The sequence below is a fragment of the Homo sapiens genome, chromosome 8, assembly GCF_000001405.40.
Source record: "Homo sapiens chromosome 8, GRCh38.p14 Primary Assembly".
Taxonomy (NCBI): Eukaryota; Metazoa; Chordata; class Mammalia; order Primates; family Hominidae; genus Homo; species Homo sapiens.
The window spans coordinates 104,248,023-104,270,308 of record NC_000008.11 but is presented as its reverse complement, the minus strand read 5'-3'; the positions used below and the strand labels follow the sequence as shown (position 1 = coordinate 104,270,308).

The following is a 22,286-nucleotide window of genomic DNA, read 5'->3' as shown; positions in this document are numbered from 1 at the left end:
AATCATTCTATATATATAGAATGAGTATATACTCTGATATGGTTTGGCTCTGTCCCCACCCAAATCTCATCTTGAATTGAAGCTCCCATAATTCCCACATGTTGTGGGAGGGACCTGCTGGGAGATAATTGAATCATGGGAGCAGTTTCCCCCATACTGTTCCTGTGGTAGTGAATAAGTCATGACATCTGATGGTTTTATAAGCGGTTTCCTCTTTCACTTGACTCTCATTCTCTCTTTGCCTGCTGCCATGTAAGATATTTCTATGCTCTTCCTTTGTCTTCTGCCATGATTGTGAGACCTCCCCAGCAACGTAGAACTGTGAATCCATTAAACCTCTTTCCTTTATAAATTACCCAGTCTCGGGTATGTCTTTATTAGCAGTATAAGAACAGATGAATACATACTCTATTGGTTCTGTTTCACTGGAGAACCCTGACTAATACATACCCTGAGCTTATTTGCTCAGTGCTCTTAGAATTAATTTTCTGTCTTTGAAATCCTTTTCTTCCCACATACTCATGTCAAAACCCAAGTTCACTTTTAAAACTCAGCTGAGATGCCACTTTCTTCATAGGAACGTCTCTGATCCCTCCAACCAAAAGTGACTCCCCTCTCCTGGGACCCCTAAGGCACCTGCTCTGCTCTATTTCTTGTTGTTGCAGTAATTTCTCCAGAAGTCTTATCTCCCCTACTGGACAGTGAGTTTTTTGCATGAAGAATGAAGTTTTTTACATGAAGAATACAATGGCTAACCTTCGTGTTTTTCCATAAACATTAGTTGAGTAAAGAAGCACCAGGACATGACCTCAATTCACAGAAAAGTTGTGTGGCTAAGCAAAGATAATTCATATGAGAATTTCACATTTTGAGAAAACAGAGGGCAATATTAAGGCTAGGTAATAATTAGTGTTGTTGTTTTTTAGTTTTGCGACAAATAAAAAATGGTCCACCCTTGGGTTATGAAATTTCATTTTATTTGATTTAGAGATGTACTGCTGGTGATAATAAAACACCTAAATATTAGAAACATCTGTAATTCTCCATCATTAGCCTTTCCAGTATAGTATATTAGATAAATACAGCCAGACCCCAGTTGTATACTTATGGCTCTTTATTGACAGCACCGTAAGTTCCGGAAACCCTCAAATCTCTCTGCTGTCATTTCTTCCAGAGAAAGAAAAATCATTATTAATGTAATGGCTTATTTATGACTTTCTCTTTGCTCTTGGATATTATCTTCCAGCCCTACCCCTCTGTGTTAGTCAGGGTTCTCTAGAGGGACAGTACTAATAAGATATATGTATATATGAAAGGGAGTTTGTTAAGGAGAATTGACTCACACGATCACAAGGTGAAGTCCCACGATAGGCCGTCTGCAAGTTGAGGAGCAAGGAAGCCAGTGGTGGATCAGTCTGAGTTCCAAAACCTCAAAAATAGAGAAGTCAACAGTGCAGTCTTCAGTTTGTGGCCAAAGGCCTGAGAGCCCCTGGCAAACCACTGGTGTAAGTCCAAGAGTCCAAAAGCTGAAGAACTGGGAGTCTGATGTTCAAGGACAGGAAGCATCCAGCATGGGAGAAAGATGAAGTCCAGAAGATTCAGCAAGTCTGCTATTTCCAACTTCTTCTGCCTGCTTTATTCTAGTCGTTATGGCAGCTGATAAGATGGTGCCCGCCCAGATTGAGGGTAGGTCTGCCTTTCCCACCCCACTGACTCAAATGTTAATCTCCTTTGGCAACACCCTCACAGACACAGCCAGGAACAATACTTTGCATCCTTCAGTCCAGTCAAGTTGACAGTCCATATTAACCATAACACAAACTAACCCTGGGAATATGGATGGCAGAATTTTGTAAAGTAGTAAGCTACCATGGAACTGGTGACTCTGTAAAGGCGGGAACCATAAACAGATGAACATTAACATGAACTTACTCTGAGAATTCTCCATGCCAGTTGTTCTTAAAGTGGGTTCCCCAGATCAGCAGCATTAGCACCTTGTTGGAAATGCATATTCTGGGGCCTTTCCTCAGACCTACTGAATCAGAATGTCTGCCAATGGAGCCCAGACACTTATATTTTAACAAGGTTTTCTTGGCGATTCTGATGCACATTGAAGATTGAGAACTATTGCTTGATAGCATCTCTTAAGTCCCAAAGTTAAGAGAACTAGAATAAATTCCTTTACCCAGTATGGTCAGAAAATGTCTCCAGACTTCCAGCTTCACATCTGTTCTTGACATTTATGCCACTTCCTGTACTTACACAGCGCTCAGATTTGATGAATGTATTCATGTCATGGTTTGACAAATTATCTGAATTATAGATGATGTTACAGTTTAGTTTGTCTCTTGGCTAAATAAACGAAGATTTACTCAAGCAAGCTAGCTTAAGGAAGGCGGGTGTTTATTGTGAGGAATTACATGAAGTGATTAGGAGAATCTATTGGATATCTAAGAAGAGAAGATCTAAAATAGGGCTGGACCTCACACAGTCCAGATTCAAGATGGGTCTAAACATCTTGGCAGAGTGTTAGTGATACATCATGGTTTTTATACAATTACACTTCATATGTCTGCTTCTTTCATCCTGCTATCAATTAGTTTCCTCTGTTTAATCACGTTTCTGATCCTCCATAATTTGTGGCCGTAGGGTTAATTATTTCAATGAAAGAAAGACTATGATAGGTTGAACTTATCTTTGAAGTGTCATGCTATTGGTCATTCATGTTGATAGTCAAATACTAAAACTTAGCAATTGATACATAAGAGGTATCAGCCAATCGGAATGAAGAACCAACTTTTTAGAACAGGATGTCAATCAATTAGATTAGGCACTGACTACATAAACCTGGCATGGCTGTACCAATGCATACCTGCTAAATATTGGGCTGAAAAAATGGCTATGTACATTTGTCCCTTCAGAAGAGAGTATGAGCACAGCAGAAAGATTTGTATAGGTAGAAATTATGATTTTATTTTTGCTTAACATCACATCCACAAATTTCAACACAGTACATGGCACATAGGAGACATGCATTAAATGTTTAACAGGACATAATTTTGAAAAGTTACTTAAATACTTCCCAGTATTTAAATAACACCAATAAACATATTTAAAATTCAAGCTTTAAATCAAATTTAATGTTATCCTTTCCTTGCAAATGGCCTTTCAGCCTCCTTATCTATTATTTTTGCCCTTACTTCTTCCTCACCAACATTCATTGTGGATCATTTCAACAATCTTCTAATTAATCTTCCTGTCTCTAGAATCTCTTTTTCTTTTTCTTTTTCTTTTTTTTTTTTTGAGACGGAGTTACGCTCTTGTTGTCCAGGCTGGAGTGCAATGGGGAGCTCTCTGCTCACTGCAACCTCCGCCTCCTGGGTTCAAGTGATTCTCCTGCCTCAGCCTCCCAAAAGGTGGGATTACAGGCACCCGCCACCATGTCCAGCTAATTTTTTTTTTCTTTTTTTTTGTATTTTTGGTAGAGACAGGATTTCACCATGTTGGCCAGGCTGGTCTCGAACTCCTGACCTCAGGTGATCTACCCGCCTCAGCCTCCCACAGTGCTGGGATTACAGGCACGAGCCGCTGCGCCCAGCCTCCTTTTCTAATATAACTTCTGTCTCCAAAGCATCTCTCTAATACAAGACTTAAGTATCCCAGTTACTTATCCATTTTCCTGTTTAAGGATAAATTCATGAATAGGAAAAGTATACTCATACATAGAAGCAATAAATGTAAAAACACAATAGTGGTTGCCTCTGGGGGTACAAGGAATAGTCAGACAAAGGTTTAACCTGGAAGTATAATCTTTATATGTTTTAAAATTTAAAAATCGAAATAAAAAAATTACACTTTATAAAACAGTCAAGAGTTGATGTTATTATGCTCCTGTTAGTAGCGTTATCAAATGACAAGCCAGAGTGGACACAGCTGAGTGAGTACTTCAGACATGCAGTCGTGACTCCAGAAAGACTAGGCCTTAGGAATGAGGGCCATGCTCTAAGTTCAAAACTGAAATAGACTTGCCCTAACAAAGAATGAAACAAATCTGACAGGACCAAAAGAACCCATCATTAACTTAATAGTATAATATGGGATAAAAACACTCAACACAAAATTCTTTATCCTTTAAAATTATACTTCAAAGGATGAAATAAAGATATTTTCAGGATAACAAGCCTGTAGAATTTATTGCCAGCAGGTCTGTATTATAAGAAATGCTTAAGAAAAATTTTCAGACTGAAAGGAAATGACACCATATGGAAACTTGGATCTACAGGAAAGAATGAGAGAACCAGAAAAAGTAAATGTTATTAGAAATACAAAGAAATGTTTTTTCCTTCTCTGAATTTTTTGAAATATAACAAATTATTTAAAACAAAAATAATACATTGCATTATAGAATTTTATTACTTATGTGGACAAACTAAAGGACAACAATAGCAAAAAGGATAGGCAGAGTAAATAGAATTTTGCTGTTGTAAGGGTCTTACATTTTATGTGAACTAGTAAAATATTAACTCTAAATTGACAGTAATAAGTTAAGGATCCATCTTGTACTCTATCTAGAAGAAACCATAAAAAATTAACACAAAGCAAATAGAGGAATGAAAATGGAATATAAAAAATATTACTTCAGAAGACAGGAAAAGAAGAAACAGATAAACAAAACTAGATAAGATAACTTGGAAATAAATAACAAGAGGGTAGACTTACACCCAACCATATTATTAATTATATTAAATGTAAATGAATTAAACTTTCTATTTAAGAGGTAGAAACTATCAGACTAGATTAAAAAGCAAAAGGCAGCCATATAATCCTAAAGGAGACAGAGAAACAATTTAAATAAACTGGCACAAATAGATGAAGAGTAAAAGGATGGAAACAGTAAGCATAAGAAGGATGGTATAGGTATATCAACAGAAAATAAACTTCCAGACAAGGAATATTACCAGTAATAAAAGGGTACTGCATATAATGATAAACAATTCAATTCAACAAGAAGATATAGCAATCATATATCTTATGCAGTTAATAACAGAGGTTCAGGATACATGAAGAAAAAAACTGACAGAGCTAAAGGAAGAAATAGACACACCCACAAACATAGTTACAGATTTTAATACTTCTCTCTCACTAACTGACAGAATTAGACAATCAAGATATAGAAGATTTTAACAACAATATTAATCAACTTGACCTAATTAATATTCACAGAACTATAACATTACACCCAACAACTGCAAAATATACATTCTTTTCAAGTACACTTGGAATGTCAGCCAAAATAAACACTATGCTCAAAAGTAAAATAAGCCTCAACACTCAAAAGATCAAAATCTTAAAGAATTTGTTTTCTGGCCAAAACAGAATTACTTAGAAATCAATAACAATAAGATAGCTAGAAAATGTCCAAATATTTGGAATTAGTACATTTCTACATAGCCCATGGATTCAAATAGCAATCACAGGCATGACAAAACATTTTAGCTGAATGGTAATGAAAATAACAATGTTTGGTAGAAGCAATTAAAGCAGTGTTTGGAAGGAAATGTATAATTATAAAGATTATATGGGAAAGGAAGAATGATTTTAAAACAATGATCTAGGCTTCCATCTTAAAAAACTAGGAAAATAACAAATTAAATCCAAAGTAATTAGAGGTAGGAAATAATAACAGAAATCAATGAAATGGAAAAAATAGAGAAATATGACAAATCCCCAAATAGGTATGTTGAAAAGATTAACAAAATCAATAAACTCATAGTAAGACTGCTCAAGAAGGAGAGAAAAAATATCAAAACTGAAAGAGAGGTCATCATTTCAGATTCTACAGACATTAAAAGGATAATAACATTACACATACCTTTATAAGGAAAAATTTGGAAACATATAAAATTGACAAACTCCTTGAAAAATACAGCCCAAACTGACAGATATTCTATTAACCTTTTATTTACTGAACAGATTTAATTTATAGTCAAAATGTTTCCACAAAGAAAACAAACTTCAAGTCTAGATGTTTTCACTGTTGACATTTATCAAATATTTAAGAAAGAAATAGTATCAATATTAAACAAGTTGGTTCAGTAAATAGAGCAGGGAAACACTTCCCCACTAGTTTTTTCAGAAGACCAACACATTAGAGGAAAAAAAATTGAAAACAAATATCTGTCATAAATATAGGTGCAGAAATCCTTAACAAAATATCAAATTGAATCCAGCACTATAGAAAGAGCTAATACATCATGATCAAGTTGGCTTTCTTTCCAAATTTTCAAATGTCTTAACACTGGAAAATCAATCAGTGTAATTCATTATATTAACAGAGTACAGGAGAAAAAAAAATACAATCATCTTAATAGAAGGAGGAAAAGCATTTGGCAACATTTAACATCTATTCATGATAAAAAAAAAAACCTCTCAACAAATTAAGAATAAGAGGCAACTTCCTCAATATGACAAAAGAGCATCATATTTAATGGTTAAATATTGAACCATTAATATTTTCCTCCTTAGACTGAAAGTCTTGGGCAGGACTTCCAGGTCCAGGAAATCTTTAAAGGTAGCTACCCAATTGGCTGGTCCCTTTACTCTTCCCTCGTCCCCTGTCTCTTTTTTCCTAGAATGTAGATGGCAGGAGCTGCAGCTACCGTCTTGTAACCGGGAAGTAACTAACTTTGAAGAAAAAATAAGCTTCTATAATTTTAGGTTACTTTTACTGAGGCCTCGGTTACCCATGGCTGAATGCAATGCTTGATTGATACGAAGAAACAACTTTGGTTGAGTCCTTATTATGCGCTGGGCTGTCATTTCTTTTGTTATTTAAATTCTCAAGGGCCTTTGTAGTGGGCATTGTGCACCCCAATTTACAGATGAGTTAACAGTAAAAAGAAAAGCTCACCTACTCTGGGCAGCCTTCCTAAAGAAAATTAACCAATGCTTCTAAGATCCTGTCTAGCAGATCTTATCTAGCAACTGACACATCATATTTTAGGTATAGAAGCATACAGTTTGGTCATATTCGAGTAGGCTATTTGAGGTCTGGAATGACATCTTATTCACCATGTCATTGCTAGTGCTTGAACAGAATATGTTTTAAAAATACAATTCAGGGAATAGACTGTCATGTACTGTGTTATTCAGAATCGTCATTATCAAGAAGACCAACTGCATACTAGAGTCAGGAGCACGTGGCAATTGGTAAAGAGTTTCACCACCTAGACATCAAGGATTGAAAAGTTCTTGCATTACGCAGGCTCTTTCCAGGGCGACTGCTTGCTAGAGCCTACCCGTATGTTCTTTGGATCCTTGGGGCCTATCCTGTGTTTTATGACCCATGATCCTATTTCCTAGGTGCAAAATAGTGTGTTTGAAATACAGCTGATAAACCACTCTACCCAACAGACAAGAAAAATATCCCTGACTGGGCAGACCAGTAATCTGATACTTCTTTAGTAAAAGAAGAGAAAGGAAAAATAATGGACACACGATTTTGCAGTGGTTGACAGCAGCAACAGCAAGGTATTCCCATTGCCACACATCGTGTTCCAAAGGAAGACCTTTCCATGGCAACGTTGCTGTGGTCCCACTCTCTGTGAGTGTGGTTTGTCCATCCCCAAGTTTGTTCCACCCTAGGTTTTAAGTGTCCTCTTAAAGCCATGACCCCTCTCCTTGACCCTTTCAAGGCACACTCAGCTCTTCGGGAAGACCCTGGAAGTAATTATGTAATTAAATGAAGTCTCCATATGTTTGTTTCTGTTTCCATTTTGCTTTTGGTTCTCACTCACATTCACCTACTCTCCTGCCTCACTCTGAGCTAGGTCTGAGAAAACAAGGATTATAATTCTAGACAGGGAAAAACAGACCAAATTCCAGTTAAGGGGTAGGTGGTTTTGAGACATTTTCTTCCCTGGTTCCTTCTTTTTCTATACTCTTCTTCCCTCTCCCTTTTCCTGCCCTCATTTCCTTTTTTCTTCCATGAAAAAGAGGGACAGGGTTTGAGGTTCAGTGTTGAATGAAGAGTCCACAATGTTTATACCTGAAGACAAAAATGGGATTTGTCATGACGATAGGAAAGATGTAAGACAGAAAAGATGTGCTTATGAGTATCTAGAGGTGGCTATTGAAAGAAGTCCAGTCCTTTTAGAAGGACAATGATTCCTGGATATTTTTAACAGCCTGCCTCCTAGTGGATTGGAAGACTGTTGCTCTGTTTGTGGAACCCTATCACTTCTCTCTGAGAAAGCCCCGCAGATCTAGGTTTCTGGTTTTGCGAGTTTGGGATTTTCCCCCTAACCAGGCTTGTATCGACAAGTTTACTGAATTGTCAACTTTAAGTGTGCAGCACTCATGGCATCTCAGGACACTCAGGATGCCCCTCCCCCCGCCACCAAAGTTTTAGGATTTTTTGTTAGTTTTTTACTATGTCGCAAACAACTTGCATAAGCTCCATGGATGTTAGCACATGAAGTTTTATAACAAATCAAGAATATCCCAGACAACGTGTCTCTTTCCCCACAGCTTCAATATTTCTCCAGCGAGAGCATAAGATTTGCCAAGGAAGCTCATGACTCTTCATCAGAAACAGATCCCTGCCCTTCATCACTACCCAGACAGGGACCGAATTGTTACAGGGTCAGGGTCTGGATAACCCCAACGTATTGCCAGAGTTCCACTGTAGTCCGCAGGGGCTCTGCAGTCCTTGGGTGTGACTGTGAGCCCACCCAAGAAGCCTGCTGTCCCCAGCAGCCCACCAGCCAGACCTATGACACAGGGAGCCCAGCCTTTGGAGGTCAGAACTAGAGAAGAGCCTGACCTATTCCTTGCTGAGGAAATAACCAGAGAAGCTGTGTGATAAGGAATGTGAGGATCCATCCAGGAGGATTCTGAGGTCGCCATTCTCCTATGTAGTGTGATCTTCCAGGGGCTGAGGCGTCCTCTGCCGTCCCTGACTCTCCAGGACCCTGAGAGCCAGCCCAAGGGTGTGAAACTCTGCTGGGGCGTTTTTAAAGCCCCATCCTTTGGATGACTGCTGGACTTGTCTGCCCAGCTGCTCCTTTCTGAGAAGGCCTGGAGCCGCCTTGCAGTGTGGGATTCCTCACTGGGGTCTCTCTTTTAAGTAGTCGTGGGCAGTGGACTGCTGAGCCTGTGGGGGGTTCCTTCCTCTCCAGGGAAGGTCTGCTATGAGAGGGCTCAGCAGAGTCGTCGCCAAATCCAGCAGGGATGCCCCAGCTTGGTCCCCAGTGTTCAGAGGGAACTCTTTGCTTCCCTTAGAAGACTTGTGCTTCAGATGAGACAGTCCAGCAAAGAATGAAATGGTTTTCAAGACATTCTAATCAATTACTTATGCTAATAATTGGCAATTTGAACACTAATTTTATAGCACTTATAGTACCATGTATTCTATATACAGAATCTCATTTAATCCCCTTAACAGCCTAATGAATTGGGTAGTTTTATGATTTCCATTTTGCAGATGGGGGTAGTGAGGCTAAAAGAATATAAATGACATTGTCAGGGCTGAACAGCCAGTAAGTGTCAGTCCAGGAACAAGCCAATAGAATGTAATTCTTAAAGAAATAAAAACAAAATTGTAGTTTGTGATGTAGAGATTTGTCACTTACACACTTGGGAATAAGTCACTATTTCATTTTATAGTCATGACAATGAGGAAAATGGATGCTGGTCGTTATCAGACACGTGTCCTGGAATTTTTAATTGATGTGTGAAAAAATTCAGAGGATGTAAGGATGTTTCCTTGGCAGGAGTGGTAATAGCCAAAGATGCATGGAAAAATCTAGAAAAAAATAAAATTATTATTCTAAAATTCCAATGAGAAACAAAGGGAAATAGTAGGTATGTATAAATATTTGCCTATATAAAATGAATATATAAACAAATACATAAACAAAACCAAAGCCAAAGCCAGTTTAATTACAGACAGGCACCACTGCTGAACTCAGATTTTAACAAATAAATATAAAAGAAGGAGGCTGGACCCATAATGAGGACAAATAGAACCAGGGCATGCACCTGAAAGAAGAGTGGCTGGAGGCAGAGGGTTAGAATCCAGAATGGCTGAAAAAATGCTGAAGGTGATAAAAAATGTCCTTTATTTCCTTTGGGTCCAAGGAGTTGTCAAGGAGGGGGCAGATCCCTTCTACTACTCAAAGATAATGAAGGGAAAAATGCTGAAGCATTTCATTTCTCTCTTGCTTCTCTTGCATGCAACTAGAATAGTCTTTAATTGGAAACAAAACAGGAGTTGAGGCTCATGATAAGAAAAAGAGCTGCCGCTCGTGGGTGCCCATTTTATGCCAAGTCCATATACATGTTCTAGTCAAGTCCCAACAGTAACTCAGAAAAGTTGCCATATAACCAGCAACCTCCTTCTCCCTCCCCGCCCTGCCCTGCCTGACATGCTTTCTGTTGGCAACTAGATTACTCTATGAGGAAAACATATCTGTATTTCTGCAAATCATTCGAGAAAGCCATAATGAATTTTCTGTGGATAAAGTGGGGAACTGTGTGGTGGACTGTGGTCAAGTGAAGCGGCCCTTCAATTGATGGACCCACTCGATTTATTGCCAGAAGACCCACGTTTCATCTGGATGTGGCCCTTCTCAGATGGGGGACTTTGGTCACATTATTTAAACTATATGAACCATAGTTTTCTTATCTGCAAAATAAAGTTGATGTTACTACTCACCTCATAAAGTAGTCATAAGGATTAATTTAGATCAGGGTCCCTAGCCTCCAGGGCATGGACCAGTACCGGCCCATAGGCTGTTAGGAGCTGGGCTGCACAGTGGGAGGTGAGGAGGTGACTAGTGAGGGAAGATTCACCTGTATTTATAGGCACTCCCCATCACTCTTATTGCTGCCTGAGCCTCGCCTCCTGTCAGAGCAGCAGTGGCATCAGATTCTCATAGGAGTGCAAAGCCTATTGTGAACTGCACATGTGAAGGATCTTGGTTGCATGCTCCTTATGAGACTCTAATGCCTGATGATCTGTCACTGTCATCACCCCTGATGGGACCATCTAGTTGCAGGAAAACAAGCTGAGGGCTCCCACTGATTCTACATTATGGTGAGTTGTATAATTATTTCATTATATATTACAATGTAATAATAATAGAAATAAAATGCACAATAAACATACCGTGCTTGAATCATCCCGGAACCATCCCCCAACCACACCAGTCTGTGGAAAAATTGTCTTCCGAAACCAGTTCCCGGTGCCAAAAAGGGTGAGCACTGCTGATTTGGATCACGTGTATTAAAGTCATTTTGTAGATTATAATGTGTTAGATGACAATAACTACTATAGATATCAATTAATATTACCAGAAAAGAGTTACAAAACTTTGATCTTGGCCCTATTTTAGTCAACATTTTATCAAAGATGTGAATCAAGATAGAGGAAACGTCCTTATCAGAACTGCACGTGACACAGAGCTGGCAGTGAAAGCTGACATGTTTTATAAATCTTAAGCTTTCAGCAAAATTCAGAGTGAATGCAGATTTAGGGCAGTTGTAATGATTTTGATAGGCTGGAATATTGGACAAAACCAATAAGAAAAAAATTTAGCAAGAAAACTTTTACATCTGTGCTTGGCTAAAAATGAAATTCCACAAGGACAAGTAAGAAAGCAATTCATATGGAGGATCTGAGAGATTCGTTTGACCACCAGCCTAGTCTGAAAGGGCTATGTGAGGTAACTGCAGAACACGGCAACAGAATCACAGGTTGTGTTTACAAAGCAGAGTCCACAGTACTCTTCTTGAGCCAGTACTCATCCAGAGTCATTTGCTTAAGCAAATGGAGAGGGTATATTTAGAGGACAGATAAGATGATGAGGTTTCTAGTAAGTGACAAGTGTTGAAGGCATTAGAAGTGCCTGGAAGAGAAAAAAAACTAACGGTAGTAAAACTAATAGTAATAATGACAATCAGTACCACCACAGAAATAGCTAATACTTACTGAGTAATTGTATGTCTGGTATTGTGCTAGTCCCTTGTCTGCGTTACATTGTTTAATCCTCTCAACAACCTTGTGAGTCAGGTACTGTTATTATCTTTACTTCCCCATTTAATAGATAAGAAAACAGACACGATAAGTGGCTTATTCAAGGTTATATAGCTATTACATAGTTATTATACAGCAAATGAGAAAGCAATATTTGAACTCAGGCATTCTTATTTAGAACAGGAATTTTTAGCCAACATGCTATTCTGCTTTCTAAGAGTTGGGGATAATAAGATAGCTCACTTAAATATTTGAAGGACTATCTATGGAAGAGCGATCAGCCATTTGCTGTACATTTCTGCAAGGTAGTGCTATCCCAGGAAGTATAAAATACTGGAAGGAGATTGAGGCTGAGTGTTAAGGAATACAATTTAGGCTAAATGTTATGGAATGAAATGGATTGCAGCGTTTATTTCTCCATCCACTTGTCAAGCAGAGGCTTAATGGCCGCCCCTTAGGGTTTCCCTTCAAGCTAAGAGGTTGCCCTAGGTGAACCCAATGGCTCCTTCGAGATTCTAGTTTCATTAGAATCATCTTTGGCCAAATATATTAATTAGGACTCATGACCTCAAGCAGCAGGAACTCAACTAATTACAGCTAGACTGTGTGAGCTTTCTTGGAAGAGCAGGGATGCCGCTGATCCTCAGTCGTAATGGAACTAGGAATGCGGAATCTGTAGGACTCTCTCCACATTCTTGCCTCCACTTGGTTTTGCTGACTTTCTTAGCATAAACCAACTTTCATCAGATATCAGAAAACACTGTCACTGGAAGCTCCTGACTTTTCCCCCACAATGGGATAGTTTTTGTCACTGGAGATGGACTGCCTCTTTGGTATCAAGGCAAAACAAAATAAAACAAAAAAATAACAAATCTTCATAGGCAAGGTAAAGATTGGCCCAGTTTAAGAGTCTGCACCCTCTATAATACCATCACATGGGGCTGGGGAATGGCAGGTCTCAGAGGAAAAATGTGGATGGACTAGAAAAGAAAGCTTATAATAAGCAATAGGGTCCCCTGCCCCAAGGCAGGATGATAGGAAGCTGGTACTCAAAAGGCATTAAGGACACGACAGGTTTAAAGTCTTTTTGATGTAACCATACACAAACCATGAACATAAATTTCAGGACTCAGGAATCTTCCATGTTTATGACAATAATCTTTTCTTTTATTTATTTATTTTTTTTTGAGACACAGTCTTGCTCTGTCGCCCAGGCTGGAGTGCAGGGGCGTGATCGCAGCTCGCTGCAACCTCAGCCTCCGGGATTCAAGTGATTCTCATGCCTCAGCCTCCCACAGGCGCCTGCCATCATGCCTGGCTAATTTTTATATTTTTGGTAGAGATGGGGTTTCTCCATGTTTCCAGGCTGGTCTCAAAACTCCTGGCCTCAAGTGATCTGCCCGGCTCGGCCTCCCAAAGTGCTGAGATTACAGGTGTGAGCCACTGTGCCCAGCTGACAATAATCTATCTGAGAATATTTGAGAAGGACATTCACTGTTAATGCTGGGTATCTGGCACCTATAATGTGCTCGGCATTGAGCTAGGTGCTGTGCTGGGTATGGAATTGCAGGCTTTGATTCCTGTGTTCAAAGGCCTAACCATTTAATGGGATTAAGGACTAAGCATCATTCTGAGAACCATTTCAAATATAATGAAACCGAAGATTAGACCTTATCAATTATCTCATTTAGAAATAGATTTCACATCAACTTTAAATCAAAACTAGCTTCCCAATAAAACTCTCAGTGCTTTAGAAATAGCCCCAAATGCAGGAATCTACAGATGCATTCATTCAACTCATTCACTTCTTATGTGCTCATCACTGTTTTAGACACTATAATACAAGTGGTAATGATTCCCTTTCCTCAAATTTCTTGCCATTGTTCTCTCTGCCTGACATAGTCTTGCTTCCCATTGCCATTATCTCCTTCTATTTAACTCCTGTTCATTTTTTTAATAAGCTTTCCCTAAATGTCTAAACTGGGTTGAAACACTTTGCTGTATCCTCCTGTAGCATTCTGGGGGCTTCACTTTAGGAACGTTATCACACTTGGAATTGTTTACCCAATGTGTCTTCTTTAGAAGAATGAAAGCCCCATGAGGACAGGACTACGGTTTGTTTTGTTCACTACTATGCTTGAAATAGTGCCTCAAATAAAGCAAGGACTAAATAAACCTTCATTGGACAGATGTTTATTGAGCAGCTATGTGTCAAACATTGTTTTTGATACTGAAGATACGGTCTCTGCCCTGAAGGAGCTTACGTTTTAGTTAAAGTGTTGATTTAATGATAGATGAGAATCTACCTCAAACTCCATATTTTCCAGGTGAGGAAATGAAATCCTGGAGATTAAGTGACCTGAGTCAGGGCATATGGAAGATGTGTGTGGCACAGACTTGTTGTTTGTTCACTTAAAAAAATTCTCTCTTGCAAAGTATTTCTCAATACACATTTCACAGTCCAGAGGTGGATGTGTGAACTCCTGTTTCTTCAGTGCATAAATGCCCACAGAACCCTGAGGGCATCACGAGCTGAGGGAGTTGAGACAAACACATTGAGCACATGATTTTTACGTGCACAGAATGTCAAGGTTTACATCAGTAGTAGGCAGACAGCTTTGGTGATCTCTTGCCTAATTCTATCATACCCACTACAGGACCATCATATCCTTTATTGTTGCCTATGGAGCCTTGGCATCTGGGGTCCCTGGGAAAGTGAAGGTGTTGGCATCAATGGCAGCCATGTTGTTAGGGTTTAGTCAGGAGTTGCCGAAAGAGCTCATTCGTGAGCTGGGAGTTGCAAGAAGGGACTCGCATGGATCATTATTGAGAAAAGTAGAAGGGCTTTTCAGGAGAGGGCACATAAGAAAGGGAAGGGAATTTTTATAACAGGAATGTATATGAACAACAAAGAAACAGGAATGAACAACAAAGAAACAATTCACTAGAGTAGGGGGTATATATGGGATAAAGGAAAATGTTGTTCATATACAGGAATGTATATGAACAACAAAGAACAGGAATGAACAACAAAGAAACAATTCACTAGAGTAGGGGGTATATATGGGATAAAGGAAAAATATATGGGACAGATAGGGGGAATTGGACTCGAGTTGAGTCTTTGGAAATGGAGGAAATGGTTGTTTCCAAGAATAGAGAGACAGCTAGACTTAGATTTCAGTTCGATTACTAAACATGAATCCAAACTAGCTCTTAAATTTCAAACCTGAAGCAGACTCCCATGAGAACTCTGCAGGGTTTCCTTCTCCCAGTTGAGGAATCGCCCCAGAAGGATATGGAGAAATCCTCTCACCCATTCATATCCACACGTAGAAGCTAGTCTCCGGACAGGTTGTTACATGTCAGGTTACCACGTCTCCCCATCCCGAAAACACACCCTCCACTCCCCACAAAGCAAAACTGACACTTTAGCAGAAACACATATGCTGCATAAAGCCAGTTATGCCTTCGCCATCTTCACCCAGGGGCTAGCAGAGCCTGTGCCTGAGTATTTGTGACTATGCTGTCAGTGAAGGCCATGACTAAATTAAAAATTTCACTCAAAAAATCTGTGAGTTGCTGAGTCATTTAATCAGAAAGAAACTCAATCCAAAATAACAACCTTTTAAAAAACAGCACCTTTTCATAGTGTGAGCAGAAATCCTTTGGCGTTTTAAAGAAATGCTCTACTGAGGGCCGCTGCTAAGACCAGCAGTCCACTTATGTTATCGAGAAGTAGGAGACGGTGATTTCATTCTTTAAATGACACATGAGTTCAGGGAATGAGCTGCAGCAGGCTCAGGGCTGTGTGGGGAGAAAAGTCAGAGAAAGCACTGCAGACGCCTGTAAAGAAAATGTTTTATTTAAAGTGTTAAATACCATCACCAGAATGAATTTGATTTACATTAGTTGGTGTTCATTACAGGACTAATCTGCCCTTTTTTCCCAACTGGAATTCCCTTTACTTTTCAAACATACTATGTACAGGGCAACAACGGTCACTGGCATAGTGCTAGTTACATGACTAAACCACAAGTCGAGGTGCAGATGTGAAAATTAAAAAAAAACACCAACTTTTAAATAAATACTGCATAATGACAAGTATGTACAAATATTCCGTAGTCACGTCCTTCTTATTAAAATTAGAAATAATTTGTATAGGAATATGCACAAAAGATTATGTGACTGCATCTTAGTATCAGGAAAATCATAAACCTTTATTCTAAGGGATAGTATAGACACTATAGGTCTATTAAATCAATTGTTGCTGGTACACAGGTGTCTAAATTATTTTAATAAAGTTTTATTCGTTCTTTTAACAACTTTACCTGGGTCCATCAGAATGTCAAGACACAGTCTTGGTGTATTTCATATTGCACCACATAAAAAGAAGGCATTTTTAGTGATACTCATTTTAACTTTTGCACCGTATCAAGCATGATAGTTTTTAATGGTCAGCACTGAACTAAAAAAAATATTTGTGCATGGCCTTAATTTAAACAAATGAGATGTATGTGGATTTCAAAAATTAATGCAAAAAATTAAAATCAAGCTATAATAATGTGTTATCAAAATGTACATAAAGAACCATGGGTGGTTTATTACAATAACCAGTGACTTTTCCTCTAAATAGGGGAACTTAGGAGAAATTTGACCTTGCAGCTCCACCCAATGGTAATAACCGTCTGTAAAACCAAAGGCAGGGGTTTTGACTTTAGGAGATTTTCACATAGACTTTTGGTGATGGCATCAAATAACTATTAATAGGCATAATGACTTTCTTTGAGTCACCTAAAAACTGGAGCTTTAAAATTGTTGCAAATTTATGTTTACTATATTTCTTTAGAAATATAATTTGTGAAAAATTGAATTTTACTACAGAAAAATGAATTAATAAACAGCCCTGTGTTTCAGGGTTCCCAATTTTTAGCAGTGCTTCTATTCACATAGTAAATGGAAACTGGCTAAAGAAATTGCTTTAAATGATTAAAAAACAAACAAAACCTAAGACCTTCTACAAATAATACTTTAACCCCTGTATGAATAATGCTGGTGCTAAAAACAAATTTATTGGACATCACAATGGCAACATGATTTTAGAATTTTCCTGTAAACTGAATTTTAAAGGTGAAAAAATTACCATGCACTGTACAATAAACTGCAAAAGTTCAAATATCTTCTTCGTCAAATACATGCTGACTTACTTTAATGTACTCCCAAGTCATGTTGCAAAATCCTTTTCAACATGCTTGAAATAAAGAAAGCTCTTAAAGTTAATTTTCCCTTGAGAAATTCGCAAATTCAGAGGCATCTACAGCTCTGAATCAAACATGGGGTATGAGAGAGGATCAGATCAAAACTTGTAATTTTTTAGTATAAGGTTCACTCTGGCAGGGAGAAAGAAAAGTTTAAAAGAGGGAGAAGAGGTAAAGTGAGAGAAGGAGAAAGATGTGAAAAATTTGCACATATTGAACTTCATAAGATTTGTATATTTAACATGGAAATAAATTGAATATATTATACTTATTTGTCACATAAAGAGAATTTTAAGTATCTTCTAGAAAGTATTTCCATTTGTAATGTCTGCCAAAACACAGACTATGATTAAAGAATAAACATGGTGTATCTTTGTATCACCCTGTTGCATTCTCTCTCCTTTTTAAAACCATGCACTAGTGAAATTTATTTTTAAAAATAATATAAATTGTTGAAAATGGCTGATTTTTATTCTTTTTTTTTTTTTTGCAAGTTGCAGCCCCAAGAAAATAATTTAAGTATTCAGCTAATCTGTGTCCATGCAAAAAAAGTTTCTTTAATTTCATTCAGTACAGTGTAGCCACAGAATTTTGTTTTTCAGAGTCCAACACATCTTAGCATTAGTAATTGACGTGCCCATGGAGCTACAAAGTCTGCCACTCTTCCTGCTGGACTGACTGCTCTGATTCCCGCCCAGAGGAGGGCTGATGATTGTTCCTGACCACTTCTTTGGTCTCCTGCTTTTCACCTGATGCTTCCTAGGATTACACTCCTCACCTGTAACACCGCTTCATGGCTGTATAGCTCCATTTCTGTGGCATATCAGGGCTTTGGGGTTAGATAAATGAAGAAAAAGGAATGATAAAAATATAAAGGTGCCATTGAAAAGGGCTTCTGTTGCATGAAACTGACTGATTCTTTGAGATTAATCCATGGCTTCAGATTGGACCAGAACTCGAGTGTCATTGAATTCCAAATCTGATAGTTCTTCACAGCTCTGCTCTTTCACCTGAGGGCCTTCTTTAGGGCACAATGTGTGCAACTTCCTCTGAGAACACAGGATTGCTTTGTATCCCTAGAAACAGGCTCAGAAGACACAACATTAAGCATGCAGTGTTACCAGGGTTTGCAACCTGTGATTTTTTTTTTTTTTTTTGTAACGCTGGTTGCTGTGACAACAATTTTTTTACAGCTGCTATGAACGAGAGTAAGAAGGTCCAGTTGAACTTTCCAGAGATGATTGGGAAGCTCTTCTTGTCAGAGGGGCCAAGGTTGGATCTACTAGGGAGGAAGGTGGGAAAAGTTTGAACCATCCGATCACCATATTGGATAGCTCTAGTTCATCTAAAAGTATCTGGGCCACTCCCATAAAAGATTTGTGATCCATGCGGCCATAATCTCCCCAGACGATGATCTGTTGGCAAAATAAAAAGTAGAGTGATGTCAGTGTAACTGTGTACATAGAAAAACTTGTAAAATATATTAAAATACTAAAGTACATTCAGTTAATTTTCTGACATCAAAGATCAAGTTAAAATCTGCATAATAGAATAGTTGTCTTTAACTAGTGGTATCTAAAGGTACACTGGGGAAATTGTACTGAAGCATTAAGGTCATAAGAAATCCAGAGAGACTGGAATTTACGTGTGGTGGGGATTTGCATGTCTGTAAATCACTTTAAAGAAAATGACAACGTATATTGCTTTATAGCACGGGCCACTGCTTTGAAAAGTTTCCAAAGAATTTCCTTTGTGAGGAACATAAAAGAATACAACAGAAAAGATTTGGGGTATAATGTCTGACCCCATGAAAAATACTTTCTTAGGTAAGGGATAAACAATTAAGTAGATACCTGTAAAACTTTTCCTTGTGGACTCTCTTCGAAAGATAATAGCTGCTGGTAAAGGGGTTCCAGCGTTTTTCTTGCCACTTTTGTTTTCTTTTTGGCTATGCAGACTCCGTTATCTAATAGATACACTTTTACATACGGTGCTTGGGAAAGAAAACACAGAGGAGAATGAGCAATAAACTATGGACATGAAATGGCCGACGCACGGTGACATTTACCAGTTTAGTAATCTTTGGCTGAAAGAGCTAGCAATCATGCCACTGGCCTAGCTGCATTCTGTCAAAATCATTAGATAAACAGTGGATAACTGTGTCTTTCAGGGAGTTTTAGGGGATGCTGACATAACCTCTGAGTTTATTATCATTTTTTTCATCAACTGGTTATATAGGTTTACACACTGCATTAAATAAAGGGAAATGCTTCCAGTCCTGAGAGATGTCCTGCTCAGTCTTTAATTTATCAATACTTAAATCTATTTAACATGCTTGAAGCTATATTGTTTCATTCACTCATCCCCACAAATAGTGATTATCACTCAAAAGTACTTACTTACTGGTGGTGGTGTGGGTATAACAGTAGTGGAATTTCATGTGATATTGATCAAATTAGCTAAGAGGCAACTAATTAGACAATCTATGGCTTAAAATTTATCCAACAGACACTTCATAAAAACCATTTTCATGCATGTACAAATCATGATTTTTTTATAGCAGAGTGAGTTGACTAGCTCTAAGACATATATAAACACAACTGTCTTAATCACCAGTGCCAGGTTATACAACAGATTATATATTATAATTAAAAATTTCTGCAAGGATAGAAAAGTTCAGAGTGAAAGTTACAAGTCAATCAGTAGAGATGCTGAAGCTAGAAATAGAAAAGTTGAGAGTCAAAATTACAAGTCAATCAGTAGAGATGCTGAGGCTAGAAATCAAGTTTCAGAATCCTCAGAAATTGTTTTATACATCTTATCAAACGATCTCTACACAATGTATTTGGAGCACTGTAGCACCTTCCATGGCTTCAATGCACCTTAGATTAAAATGACATTTCAATTTGAAATATGTAGCATAAGAAGTTATAATAGTGCCTCTCTTTCCTCAGATTATAGGAAGTAAAAGTCTTATAATTAGAATATCCAGCATACATAGCTTATGCTACTCTTGGAGCCTGTATCTATTTTTTATTCTAATTCCAGAGACTTATGGATTCCTGAGGAGAATTTTGAAGCTCTAGAGAAACTGAAGAATAACACAAAAGACTAGCTAATAAGAAAAAAGAACTCCTTGTGTACATGGTGTGACAAAATGAATGATCTAAGTGGGGTGGTTTTTATTTTGCAGTGGTTTCTACTATGTATGTACTTATTTAACAACTTACATTATCCCCACCGGATCATCCTCACTGAACACTCATTCAGGATAAACACACAAATGACTCCAGCACCAGACCAGTCATAATGGACCATCCATTAGTAATCTTGATTAACTAAATCAAAGGTCTAAACCAATCAAAAGGTCTCTAAATTGAAACAATATGGATTATGGACAATAATAGAAAAATCTCTTTTGTTTTTACCTGGCAGTGTCTTGGAACCTGGTTTTACAACAAGGCCACGGGCCCGGATGATTTCTACCTCCAGCTGTCCCTTTTTGTCCATCATTCCTACCTGAATGTCACCTAATGGAAGAAGGAAGGAACAAATGTGCTTTAATATACAAATGCACTAAGGAAAATAGAGTCAAAGACCTTGGTTTAACATCGTTTCATCATTTCCCATATATTTTCTTAAATTCAAATATACTTAAAATTCTATCAATAATATCTTCCTTTAAAAAGCATTAAAATTAAAAGAGAAATAATGGTTAAATATTTTTTATTCTTAAAATCTAAGGTCTTGATTCCTGCTGATAATATTGTTAAAGATTCCACTGGGCTGAGCCCAGTGGCTCATGCCTGTAATCCCAGCACTTTGGGAGGTGGAGGCAGGAGGATCGCTTGAGGCCAGGAGTTTGAGACCAGCTTGGTCAGCACAATGAGGCCCTGTCTCTACAAAAAAAAAGTCAAAATATTTGCTGGTTATGGTGGCGTGTGCCTGTAGTCCCAGCTACTTGGGAAGATGAGGTGGGAGGATTTCTTGAGCCAAGGTGGTCAAGGCTGCAGTGAACCATAATCATGCCACTGCACTTCAGCCTGGGCAACAGAGTGAAACTCTGTCTTAAAAAAAAAAAAATAGAGGGAGAGAGAGAGGGAAAGAGAGAGAGAGAGAGAGAGAAGATTCTATGAAATTTAGAGAATTTCATTTTCAACAATCTAAAACAAAATAGTGAAATCATGTGGCAGAAATTCTTACCCATTGCAGGTGTTGCCAGAGTCTGGCGTCCCACTAGCTGAGCAGGGCCAAGGCCATCCAGGAAATCACTGAACTGGCTATCAGAGGCCAAGCGAACACCAGGGAAAATCAGACTGAAAGCAAAATAACATATGAGATTAAATCCCCAACCCCTATTTATTTTCAGGTAAGCTTGGTTTCATTCTAGCCTCATTATTGTGGCAAGACTAGTCCTATTATTTTGTCACTTATATTTACTGGATCCAAATACCCAGTTCCACCTCCCAGGACTCTTCCTTCATATTCTCAGCAGCCCAAGTATGACACCAGAAGCACCTGTCACACTGCACTGCAGGCTTCTGCTGGTGAGTCTTTCTCTTCCTTGGTCTCAAAGGCAGACTGTGATTTCTATGAGTAACACTCAGCACATATTGAGCACTTACTCCATCCAGGCTTTATCATATTTAATCCTCTTAGCTGCACTATGATAGATTCTATTATTTCTCCTATTTCATACACGAAGAAATGTTTCTGGATCATTCCCATCTGCATACAAATATGCTGTTATTTCTTCCACCATATAAAAAAATCCCTTTCCTGACCCCATTTCCCTCTCCAGTTACTACCCCATTTCTCTCCTTGAAATAATTGTCTCTATGTGCTGTCTTCAATTTCTTTCCTCTCATTCTCTCTTGAAAGTCTAATCATGTTTTCATTGTTGCCACTCCACTAAAATTATCTGATCATTTGACACAATTTCCCTTGCCCCCTCTTCCTTGAAGCACTGTCTCCCACTGCTTTCTGCACACTCC

General features: G+C 38.3%; 1 protein-coding gene across 66 annotated transcripts in view; it reads right to left on the bottom strand.

The window, feature by feature from the left end:
* Positions 14,215–22,286, bottom strand: part of RIMS2 (regulating synaptic membrane exocytosis 2) — a 755,485-nt gene continuing 747,413 nt past the window's right edge. For 65 of the 66 annotated variants that reach the window (NR_145710.2, NR_145711.2, XM_017014015.3 and 62 more), the window contains 4 exons: positions 21,496–21,608; positions 20,721–20,822; positions 19,146–19,285; positions 14,215–18,707 (listed from right to left, as the gene is read on the bottom strand). Coding sequence is in view for 64 of the 66 variants with exons in the window: in XM_017014015.3 (XP_016869504.1) it covers positions 18,489–18,707; positions 19,146–19,285; positions 20,721–20,822; positions 21,496–21,608 (574 nt within the window). In the remaining 2 variants the exon portion in view is untranslated. The remainder of the gene's footprint in view (positions 18,708–19,145; positions 19,286–20,720; positions 20,823–21,495; positions 21,609–22,286) is intronic. The other variant, NM_001348484.3, reaches the window with a different exon arrangement.